Below are 12,350 nucleotides of genomic sequence, written 5' to 3' on the forward strand. Positions count from 1 at the left end.
TGGCTTCCCTGGATGGTGGTGAGAACAGAGTGAGGTCATGGGTGTGCAGCATGTCCCAAGCTGCTCTTGTCCTAGGAATGCCGCCAGCATGGGTGGGTCTATGTTTGAACCCAAGTGGTGTTTACTGAAAGGTTCAGACCCACCTGGGGGACCTGAGCATGCTTCCCTGTGGCTCTCTGGGCCTAAGGACACGCAGAGCACCCTGAAAACAAGCCTAACAAAGTAAAAAGGTGGGAAGCTTGAGAAACATCAGGACATGCGAGTGGAGGAGAGGAGGCAGGGGCTCTGAGTGTGGGCTTGCAGCGTCTCTCCTGGTGGCCCAGCCACTCCTCACTCTCAGCACACAAACCGGGGAGGCCGCAGCAAAACCAAAGGCAAAGAACGGCCTCCTGAGACCTTGGTGGGGCAGGGGGGCTGGGCGGCCTCGCAGGGACCCCTCCGACAGCCACGGTGCTAAGTGGCAGAGAGGCCTCCTCTCAGCTGGCTGAGGGCGGGGGCTCCAGCAGGGCTGGCAGCCTGTCCTGGAGCACAGCCCGTGCCCAAAGTGGCTCCCACACCAAGCGTGGTGGGAGCTGGGCCGCACTGGGGGATGGGACTGGCTGCTCTGGAAGCATCGAGAAGTAGTGTCCTCCAGAGGAGGTAGAACCAGAGATCTCGCAGGTACGAGGGGAACAGATGGGGTGAGGGGCCGGGGGATGTCACTGCTGCAGATCGCCCCAGTGGAGGCCAGGAAGGCAGAGGAGGCAGACAGAGGGGCCCTGTGGGCACCCGCAGAGCAGTTTTATAAATATGTCCCCGCTGGGACACCAAAGAATTTGGGGGAGGGTGGAAGCCCTGCAGGTTCAGGGGAGGGTTAGGGCAAGACAAAATAAACAGCATCCATTTCTCTTAATAGTGACCCTCCTTGTAGAATCTGCTTGGAATAGCCTTGGGGAGCATGCATTGTGAGTTACTTGTTATTAATATCTAGTTCTCAAAATACTTTCCCCTTTCAAAAAGCTGTGCGTATGCATTCTTGTCACCCATTGACAGTGCCTGCCTTCTTGATAGCTCACAGACATCAAAATGGCTTTTTCTTCACTGTCAGGGCTGCAAAGCGCATAGGGTGGGCACATTGCCACGGTTGGTCCATAGAGCAGTCTACTAGCAAATGCTTCAGAAGTTTCATTAGCTAGGAGCGGGGAGGATGTTAGGAGGTGCAGGATTCTTCTCTGTCTTAAAGGACTTACAATCTGGTTGGGAAAATAAACCCTACACAGGCAAAAAGCAATTAATATTTGCTTTGAAATTCAGAGATGGATGGTTCCATGGAGCCCTAGCACCCTTATCAGAGAAGGGCGATGCCACCATCACAAACCTCCCCTGATAAGAGGAAGAGATGGGTTTGCCATTACCCTGAGCACAGAAGGCAGTTTCCCTGGAATTCTAATGCATTGCAATGAGGCTTAACATATCAATTTTTAAAAAATGGTCATGCGTCTGTTTGAAAACAAACCTGAGAGTTAGCTGTATATAAATGCACACGCGTCGTCTATTTCTAATACCCACACTCGCTTTATTTCTAGGTTTCCTTTTTCTGCCCCCTCCTTTTTGGTGCATATTTAACACTCACGTTATTGCAAAGCAGCCTGGGATGAGCCACTTAGGACCATCTTGGCTCCCATTACACTTATGTCTCTTAGTTAAGGATGCTAATTCTCGCAACTCCTCATCTGCCTCTGTACTCCTCTGGATTCTTAAGGCGATGCTAATCAGTTCTCGCTCCACAGCTGTCTCCCACCCCTCACGGTGACGGTGGGGACTTTCCTGCACCACGGCAATCCCTCAAGTCTGCCTCCCTCCCTGTCCTCCCATCCATTCGGCTTCTCTTCAACCAGGACTTCTCGTGGGCTAACTGCCTGGAGTCCAGATTCCCCTGTTCAACTGCTTGCCAAGACTTCGCGCCAAGCCATTCGTGCTGGGTGCTCTGGAGAATGAATGAGGGAAGGAACCGAGCAGGCCTGCTTTGTTGTGTTGTAGTTGGGTCGCTTGACAGCGCCGTGTGTGAGGCAGGAGGGCATGTGGGCAAGCTGGGACATCATCACAGCCTCCCTCCCACGGCCTGGCACCCCTTCATCCCACAGAGGCCAGAGTCCCCACTCGCAAATGCCTGGCCCAGCACATGCTGCGAAGAGGCCGTGGGTAGTTTCCTCTGGAAGCAATTCATTCTCATTGCTGTCTGGGGTTTCCTCCCTCTGAATGTTCTGCTGATTTTTCGCCGCACCACAAGCCTCAACGCGGCATGCGCCAGGTGCCCCAGGCTTCCCCCGGCTGCGCCTTCCTTGCTGTGAGTGCCACAGCAGCCGGTGCTCCTCCAGGCCATGGCTGCAAAAAGGGAAAGGGAGAAAAAAGATTCGAGTTTGTCACAGTGGAACCCAAAGCTTGGTAGTCGGATGACATCCCCATAATTGAAGTATTTATGTGTCTAAATATTTCACTGTCGTCGGCAAGTAAACACGAGGTGCGTGTGGGTGAATCTTTCACACCCAGGCAGCCGCCTACTCAGGCGGGCCCACACTTGTAACCTTGTGGCTTTTCTTGGAACACTGGAAGGATTTTCTCTCCTTGAGTTCCCATTAATTTAAATCAAAACTAAAGTTCACGGTGTCTCTCTTCTGCTGGTGACATTTTCCACTTCACACATTGTCAACCTCATTTAACATGTTGCTACTCGGCTGCGGTCACCTCCGCGGGAACGGCACACCCAAACAGCAGCAGCTTTTCTTCCTGCCCTTCAGACTCCTCTCTTCCTCCCACCTCCTCCTCCTCCCTCCTCCTCCCTCCCCGCAGCCCTAATCCAGGCAGGAATTCGGGCCTGCGCGGCCCTGCCCACCGTGGCAGCCAGGGATGTCCAGCCCTGGTCTCTGTTCTCCAGGGCGTTTCCACGGGACCCAGGTGTCGGAAATGCCTCACAATAAAATGAACCTAAACAACGTATCCCTGTGGTGGAGCAGTCCCTGGAAGGCAGGAGAGAAAGGCCAGATGGAACACTGAACAAAGGAAAGGAGGAGGCGATGATCCCCAAATGAAGGGCGACTGATTGTCCTCGGGCCAAGTTAGGGCTAGAGTAATATTCGGTTGTGATGTCTGGAGACATATTTAAAAATACAACTACTGTTGGCTGGGTGTGGTGGCTCACGCTCGTAATCCCAGCACTTTGGGAGGCTGAGGCAGGTGGATCACTGGAGGCCAGGACTTTGAGACCAGCCTGGCCAACATGGCAAAACCATGTCTCTACTAAAAGTACAAAAATTAGCCAGGCTGGTGGCATATGCCTGTTATGCCAGCTACTTGGGAGGCTGAAGCACTAGAATTGTCTGAGCCCGGGAGGCGGAGGTTGCAGTGAGCCAAGATTGTGCCACTGCACTCCAGCCTGGGCAACAAAATTCAGATTTCTAGCTTCTCTGTAAAGACGGATCTGCCAGCTCAGGCCTGCGTTTCCTTGTGGCCTTTGCTGGGCCTGCACTCCCAACGCGCCGCCCTCCTCGCAGCCTTAGCTCTGTTGCGGACCTGAGCTTTTCAACTTTTGCCAGTCAAGCCGCGTGCTGCCACCTGCATGCTCCCTTTGCACAGAAGCTAGAGGAAAGGCCTGCACACTCAGACTACTTGATCCAGGCCCATTTCATTGCATGCTTGGGTTACGTATGTAGCCTTTGCATACTTCCCCTAATATAAGAAGGCAGGCTTTAGGAGGGAGTCTGGGTTTCCTTCATAAAGTCAAATATCCCACCAAGAGCAGCATTCAACAGAAACATTCCATAGCAGGTGCTAGTGTGGCTCCGGCCTCTCTCTCCCTCACCAGGATGCTGGTTCTGTGGGGCAGGGGCTTGGTCTCAACTGTTGCCACACCACCAGAGACTGGGCGCGGAGAGGGCCACGCTTGTCTGAAATGTCAAGTAAATGAGAATACAACAGAGAATACGAAGGGTCTCTTCTCTTCAGGTGGACGTCTAAATCAGAATCAGAAGACGGGAGGAATTTTTCCAGCTGAGGTCAGAATGAGAAGGCGTGGCCCGGCACAGCAGGAGCAAGGGCAGAGAGGTTGGAGAGCATGGGCTATGCGGGGAATTGCATGGTTTGCAGAATGGTTGGAGGGATCAGAGGTAGAGGAACGGGGCTGCCAGTGAAGAGAGAGAGAGACCGAAAACTTAGGCAGGAGCAGGATCGTGGAGGACGCCTCAGTTATTTTAGGGGGTTTGGAATGGGTCCCTGGGAAGGTGACGGGTAACAGTGAGAAGCCGAGGAGGCACAGCAGGAGAGAAATAACCTCCAGAGCCAGGACGGAACAGAGAAGAAAGACATCTTTTCATTTCTTTCTTTCTTTTTTTTTTTTTTTTTTTTGAGATGGAGTCTCACTCTGTCACCCAGGCTAGAGTGCAGTGGCGCGATCTCAGCTCACTGCAACCTCCACCTCCCAGGTTCAAGCGATTCTCCCACCTCAGGCTCCCGAGTAGCTGGGACTACAGGCGCACACCACCATGCCTGGCTAACTTTTTCGTATTTTTTGGTAGAGATGGAGTTTCTTCATGTTGGCCAGGCTAGTCTTGAACTCCTGACCTCAGGCGATCTCCCTGCCTTGGCCTCCCGAAGTGCTGGGATTACAGGCATGAGCCATGGCACCAGGCTGGAAAGACACCTTTTCAGCATCCAGGGGTGGAACAGGCAGCCCCTCTAGAGGGCTGAGGGGAGACCTGCCTCTGAGTGGAGTTAGTCTGCAGTTAGGACTGGAAGTGGGAGAAATGCCAGCTCTGGAATCAGACAGCCTGGGTTTCAATGGCAGCTGTCATACTTGTCTGATCTTGGGAAAAATCCTTAACTTCTCAGAGCCTTGGTATTCTCATTTGCAAAATGAGAAAAATGATACTAACCATGTATGATGGTTGTGTAAATTTTGTGAAAGCAGTTCTACGAACAAGGCCTTGACAGCAGTGGTGAGAAATGAATAGATTGGAGCCGTTGCCTACAATGGCTGCCATGGTGTGAGTCATAGCAGACCTGCAGTAGACCTTCTAGTACCTAGAAGACAAGAAAACTTCTGTTCCTTGAATTCAGTGAAGATGCCTGACCAGACAGGAAATTGAGGCCCAAGGAATACTTCCAAAAACTTGTCTTTACAGAGTGGGATAGAAATGCATTAAGGCAAATGTGTCTGCTAGGTCAGCTGTCATGAAGAACCACAGACTGGGTGGTTGAATTAACAGCAGTTTACTGTCCCCATTCAGGAGGCTGAAGTCCAGGATCAAGGTGTCAGCAGGGCTGGTTCCTTGCAAGGCTGTGAGGCGGAATCTGTTCCAGGCCTCTCCTCTGGCTTCTGGTGGTAGCCTTGGGTGATCCTTGGCTTGTGTGCCCGTGCCCATTGCCCTCATCTCAGCCTTCATCTTCACTTGGTGTTCTCCCTGTGAGTGCTTGTGTCCAAAGTACCTTTTCTTTGAGACGGAGTCTCACTCTGTCACCCAGACTGGAGTGCAGTGGCACGATCTCGGCTCACTGCAAGCTCCACCTCCTGGGTTCATGCCATTCTTCTGCCTCAGCCTCCCTAGTAGCTGGGACTGCAGGTGCCCGCCACCACGCCTGGCTAATTTTTTGTATTTTTTTTTTTAGTAGAAATGGGGTTTCACCATATTCGCCAGGATGGTCTTGATCTCCTGACCTCATGATCCACCTAACTCGCCTCCCAAAGTGCTGGGATTACAGGCGTGAGCCACCACGCCCAGCCCAAAGTACCTTTTCTTTTTGAGACAGAGTCTTGCTCTGTCACCCAGGCTGGAGTGCAGTGGCACGATCTTGGCTCACTACAAGCCCTGCCTTGGGTTCACACCATTCTCCTGTCTCAGCCTCCAGAGTAGCTGGGACTACAGGCGCCCGCCACCACACCCGGCTAATTGTTTTGTATTTTTAGTAGAGACGGGGTTTCACTGTATTAGCCAGGATGGTCTTGATCTCCTGACCTCGTGATCTGCCCACCTCGGTCTCCCAAAGTGCTGGGATTACAGGCGTGAGCCACCGCACTTGGCCCAAAGTTCCCATTTTTATAGGGAAACCAGTAATATTGGATTAAGGTCCACTTTAAGGACCTCACCTTAACTATATTAATTGTAATAATCATAATTAATTAATTGTATCTGCAATGACTGTATTTCCATATAAGGACATACTCTGAGTTGCTGGGGGTTAGGACTTCAACATAGGAATTTTCGGGGGATACGATGCAACCCATAATAGCAAATGTTGTGAATAAAACTGTAAAAAGCACCCCTCCTTTTTCCCTAACAAATGAAGGCTTTGTCACTTGGTTTTCTGTCTTCTCTCCACCCTGGTTCTGCCGTCTTCCTGGGTGCCTTCAGCATGCGCTTGATGGCCTGTCCTCTTGGTGCCCCACATGTGGCCACTCCCCCACTTTGTCATGTGTCCCCCACCCCGCCCCACCAACTTGATGCAGTGTCATTGCCAAGATTCTTAATATGCATGTTCCTCTCTCTTGCTACACGTTTTTTTTTAACCATTCCAGCTGCCTGATCAGCTACTTCCACTAAAACCATCTCTGGCCCTCGGAACCCCCTGTTCATTCATTCTTTAACCTTTTCCTCATCCATTGGTCTCTCCTTATTTCTCTCCATATGTACCTTAGATTCCTTGGTTCCTCAACATTAGGTCTTACCAAATCATCTCCCCGTCCCTCGGCAAATTTGTCAAAACCCCAACTCTGGACGAACTCAACAATACATTTTCTCTGTACCTGTACCCAGGTATCCCAGGAGGTCAGAGAAAACCACACAATAGGGCAGATAAGAATCCTGATAAACTCATAAGATACCAGCCTTGAATGGGGGCTCCATCCTGCCGAGCAATCCTACCGTATTTCCCTGGCCAGGATGTTCTCCTGTGCTCTTAATGACTATTTTGAACTTTCTTTACTATTTTGGAAATTCTAAAGCCTCATCAATACCTGTCTTTTCAGAAGAGAACCCTGATTCTTTTCTAAGAAAATTAAAGCATTTAGACTAGAACCCTTCAACGTTCTGCTCCCAAATCAATATACCTGACTGAATACCTCATTCCTTCCTCCCAGCCTCATTCCCTCTCTTTGCACTTAGAGGAGGTGTTTGTGTTCTTGGCCAAGCCTCATCTTTCTATCTGTGTTCTGGATTGCATCTCCTCCCACTTCTGAGAGATGTCTCAATATTGATTATTCTTTCCTGCTCTAAATTTCCCCCCTCCCAGTTCATTCCTATCATCATTTCTATATGCTTGAGCTTCTACCGTATTTATAGAAGAAATGAATTTCTCTTAATCTCACATTTGTCTTTCAGTTACCACCTGATCTCTTTTTTCTTCTACACCAAATTCCTTGAAAGAAGTGTATACAATAATTAGCCGAGTATTTCTTTTTAGCTACTAAAACATGTGATTTATTCTACCCACATATAAGGGTTACATTTTCATAGCTGAGTTTTAAAAAATTGTGGTGAAATACACATAACAAAAAATTTTACCATCATAACTATTTTTGAGTAAACAGTTCAGCCGTATTAAGTGTATTCACATTACTGTGCAACTGATCTCCGGAATTCTTTTCATCTTGCAGAACTGAAACTCTATACCCATGAAGCAACAAGTTTCCCTTCCCCATTTCTCCAGCCGCTGGCAGCCACCATTCTGCTTTCTCTCTCTGATTTGACTGCTCTGGATACTTCATGTAAATGGACTCTTACAGTATTTGTCTTTTTGTGATTGGCTTATTTCACTTAGCTTAATGTCCTCAAGGCTCATCCGTGTTGTGGCATGTGTCAAAGTTTTCTTTTTTGGAGCTAATATTCCATAGTAGTGTACACACACACACACACACACACACACACACACACACACGTATATTTCTTTTCTTTTCTTTTTTTTTCTTTTTTTTTGAGATGGAGTCTCACTCTGTCGCCCAGGCTGGAGTGAAGTGCCAAGGCTCACTGCAAGCTCCACCTCCCAGGTTCACACCATTCTCCTGCCTCAGCCTCCTGAGTAGCTGGGACTACAGGCGCTCACCACCACGCCCGGCTAATTTTTTGTATTTTTAGTAGAGATGGGGTTTCACCGTCTTAGCCAGGATGGTCTTGATCTCCTAACTTTGTGATCCTTCCGCCTCAGCCTCCTAAAGTGCTGGGATTACAGCATGAACCACCGTGCCCGGCTGTATATACACTACATTTCTACATTTTGTGTATCCATTCGCTCATCAGTGATGGACACTTGGGTTGCTTCTGTCTTTTTGCTATTGTAAATAGTGCTGCTGTGAACATGGATGTACACATATCTCTTCAGGGCCCTGCTTTTAATTCATTTGGGTACACACCCAGAAGTGGGATTACTGGATTATGTGGTAATTCTATTTTTAATGTTTTAGGAAGTTCCGTACTGTTTTCATAGTAGCTATACAATTTTACATTCCCACAAACAGCACTTAAAGATTCTAATTTCTCTACATCCTTGCTAACAGTTATTATTTTGTATTTCTCTCTTTTTCCAGTAGTGGCCATTCTAATGGGATAAAGTGGTATCTCACTGTGGTTTTGATTTGCAGTTCCCTAATGATTAGTGGTATTGAGCATCTTTTCATGTGCTTGTTAGCTATTTGTATATCTTCTTTGCAGAAATATCTATTCTTTGTTCATTTTTTAATAGGGTCTTTTGTTCTATTTTGTTGAGCGTAACTAGCCCAATTTTTTCATTTCCTCTTCACTCCTCAATGCATTCAACTTTGTATCCTGCTAATATCATATTAACAAAATAGTAGGTATCTCCACATCATCATGTGTGATGGGCATTTTCAGCCTTCATTTCATACTCTCAGCATTTGACCTGGCTGATCTCTCCTTTCCTTCTCCACACTGGCTTCATTGATGGCAGCTGACTTCCCCTCATGGCCCTGCCTTCTTTTCAGGCTGCTCTTCCTGCTTGTCCTCTTCAGCAGACTTCTCCATCCTGTTCTCCTTCACAGTTTGCTCTCAGGTCTCCTTCACACTCTGCTCTTGCCTGGAGATCTCACCCTTGCTCATGGCTGTTGCCAGCTACAAGTGCCATTTGCATTCCAATGACTCCAAACTTTAAATTTGTAGATCAGCTTGCTTCTCTGAATTCCAGATGCAAATGATCTCATTGCCCATTAACATTCCCACTTGCACTTCTTAAGGACACTCTTCATGTTCAAACCTAAACCTTTGGTCTGTCTCTGAAAGCTGCTCCTCCTTGATTTCACACATCAGTAAAAGGCACTGTTACCTGCCTGGTCACCAGGACCCTCAGACTATGACCTCTTTCTCTTCCTCCTTTCGTTTCCATGTCCTGAGGATTTCAACTCTTAAATATATGGAATATCTCTTACATACATCCACTTTTATCAACTCCTGTCCGTCTGTCAGAGGCGTTTGAACCAGAGCTACTCCGTCTTGAATAGGGGCTGGGTAAAATAAGGCTGAGACCTACTGGGCTGCATTCCCAGATGGTTAAGGCATTCTTAATCATAGGATGAAATAAGGGGTCAGCACAAGATACAGGTCATGGAGACCTTACTGATAAAATAGATTGCAGTAAATGAGCTGGCCAAATCCCATCAAAACCAAGATGGCAATGATAGTGACCTCTGGTCGTCCTCACTGCTACACTCCCACCAGCGCCATGATCATTTACAAATGCCATGGCAACATTAGGAAGTTACCCTATATGGTCTAAAAAGGGAGGCATGAATAATCCACCCGTTGTTTAGAGTATCATCAAGAAATAACCATAAAAATGGGCATCCAGCAGCCCTTGGGGCTGCTTTACCTGTGGAGTAGCCATTCTTTTACTCCATTACTTTCTTAATAAACTTGCTTTCACTTTACTCTGTGGACTCGCCCCCGAATTCTTTCTTGCGTGGGGTCCAAGAGCCCTCTCTTGGGGTTTGGTCAGGACCCCTTTCCTGTAACACATCCTCGTTACTGCCGCGTGCATCTTATTGCCTTCTAGCTCCGCTCCCCATATGCGTGCTTTTATTTTTTATGCTCCACATAGAGCAATCTCTTTAAAATATACTCTGGATTATCTTGACCCACTGTTTACAATCGTGTATGTACGGGCTTCCCTAGGTTCTCAAAGAGCAGTGATGTGGCCCCAGGGGCTGGGAACAAGGGGAGAGCAGAAGGGGTGTGTTAATCAAGTTTATCTTAAAGCTGCCTCCTTACATATTTAAGTTCAGCCTGAAGGTTTTTCTGTACATCGTGAACTATAACAAGTGGAGGTGTAAACCAACAATAGCCCACACCTGTGCCAGTTACTGAGTTTTGGCCAAATGTAGCCAACTGTTTGAACCAAGTTCAAATAAGGCTAACGGCAACCTGTAACCAATCCAGCTGTTTTTATACCTCACTTCCAATTTCTGTACATCATTTCCTTTTTTTTTTTTTTTTGTCTGTAAATCTTTTTTGACCACGTGGCTGCTCTGGAGTCTCTAAATCTACTGTGATTCTGGGGGCTGCCCATTCACAAATTGTTCATTGCTCAGTTAAACTCCTTTAAATTTAATTCAGCTGACATTTTTCTTTTAACAGGTGGAAGATTGAAGGTCTGAAGAGTGGGAAGTCCCAGGAACAGGCAATTCCAGGAAGATATGAGGAAAATCAAGAAAGAGAAGGAAACTGAAGCTAGTGGGAAGTGCTTCAAGTTGGAGATGATGCTGAGATGGCCAAAAAGTGAGAGGTGGAAAACATTTGGAGTGAGTTAAGGAGAGAACGCGAGGCAAGGAAGTGAAGCTGAGTGAGTTGGGGAGTGGGGTGCAGGGGCCTTTGGCCACCCCAGGCTCTTTCTATGTGAACATTCTGAGACTGATTCTGATTTTTTTCCCCTCCCAAATTGCTCTCTTTTCCTTTCTTCACCTACTTACTCCCTGGTCATCCTTCCTTTGGGTCAGTGAAGTTGCTGATTCTTTAGGGAACACTTCTCTGATTGCTGAAGCTAATAGTCTCTCCCTGCGGTTGCCGGTTGTTTCCAATAGTTGACTAGTTTTCTTCCCCAGCACTTACGAGTACACAGCCAGTCACTCTGGTTGCTCACTGTCTTCCTTCTTCCTTGACTGTCAGCTCACAGGAATGCAGGGCCCTTACTTGTTTTACTCACCACTGCATCCCAAGGATATAGCAGAGTGCCTGGCACACGGTAGGTGCTGAATAAATATTCGTTAAATGATTGATTGGAGGAAAAAACCACCATCCTCCATGGTAAACCTTTACTTTACTTTTGCATACTTCTAAAAGTATAATCTAGAGGTTCAGTGACTCCCGCAAATAAACAGAAAAGGGCACAGAGGGTGGCGATAGGGCCACTGATAACAGGAGCTGGAAGTAGAAGACATCTTTTTTCCGAAGTTGAAGACTTGTACTTCCATAACCTTGGCAGATTAGGAAATGTCAATTACCCTCCAATCCAACCTCCTATATAGAGCCACACACTGGTTTCCTAGCCTTTTATGTATTGAAAAGATGTTATCCTATAAATTTTCTTCTTTTCCAATGTGTTCTATAAATATCCACTAAAATACTTTAATTGCAAGAAAGTTAGATATTTGAGGTTATATCCATGTTTCATTTCTGTGGAAAACAACACAGAAAATGTTACCCAAGTATAACTGGGCACCATGGCTCCAATATTTTCTCATTATCAGCTCAAATAAACACAACTTAGAATAAAAAAGTCATGTAAAGCAATTCAAATATTTCACTTCATCTGTCAAGGAAATATCAGGAGGGTGGTTGGGAGTACATTCTTGATGCACAGCAGGAATCTTTTACACTTCTTTCTCCCCATTTCTGCCCCTCTCGGTATCCTCCACAGGGAGAGCAGCTGCTCCCTGAAACTCTCACTCTCTCTGCATTTTTCCTTTCCAGTGCCTCAAAACTGCACACCACCTGGTACTTGGCAGTGCAGCACTTTGCTCAGGGGGATGGGTCTCCATCTCTCTGCCGTCCTGTTTTTCTTTTTTCCCGTCAATTATTCTTTGCCTTTTCCATAGATCAAGAAGAAGGTGATGTGTACTCATGTACATTAAAAACTCCTGTCTCCATTGCCTATGAACAGCAGCATCAAACCACTATGCAGAATTAGCATGAATTTATAGCTAGAATAGGAAAGTTCAAACTTGGAAACAACCATCGTAGTTTACCAGTTGGGTTTTGAAGTTTTTTCTCTCAGATCTGTTGCTTACTAGCAATGTGAACTAGGTAGCAAATTACCCTCTCTTGAAATGTTAGCAGATTCACTTGTGAAATGAAGTTAGTGATGAAGGCCAAGGTAGG

At 47.2% G+C, this 12,350-nt stretch overlaps 1 long non-coding RNA gene across 1 annotated transcript, besides 1 other annotated feature; it reads left to right on the forward strand.

Annotated features, from left to right (window-relative positions):
* The first annotated feature begins 568 nt into the window (after positions 1–568).
* LOC124901499 (uncharacterized) lies at positions 569–11,762 on the forward strand. The gene is made up of 2 exons (XR_007059932.1): positions 569–660; positions 10,611–11,762. It is a non-coding gene; the product is annotated as an uncharacterized LOC124901499 (long non-coding RNA).
* Positions 1,787–2,389: an enhancer, noted in NCBI's record as "H3K4me1 hESC enhancer chr6:164171433-164172035 (GRCh37/hg19 assembly coordinates)". NCBI's record gives its function as "activates a minimal SCP1, AML or CMV promoter by ChIP-STARR-seq in naive H9 embryonic stem cells {active_cell/tissue: H9 hESC(naive)}" and the evidence as "EXISTENCE:reporter gene assay evidence [ECO:0000049][PMID:30033119]".
* Positions 11,763–12,350: the final 588 nt, after the last annotated feature.

Source organism: Homo sapiens, chromosome 6 (genome assembly GCF_000001405.40).
Source record: "Homo sapiens chromosome 6, GRCh38.p14 Primary Assembly".
NCBI lineage: Eukaryota > Metazoa > Chordata > Mammalia > Primates > Hominidae > Homo > Homo sapiens.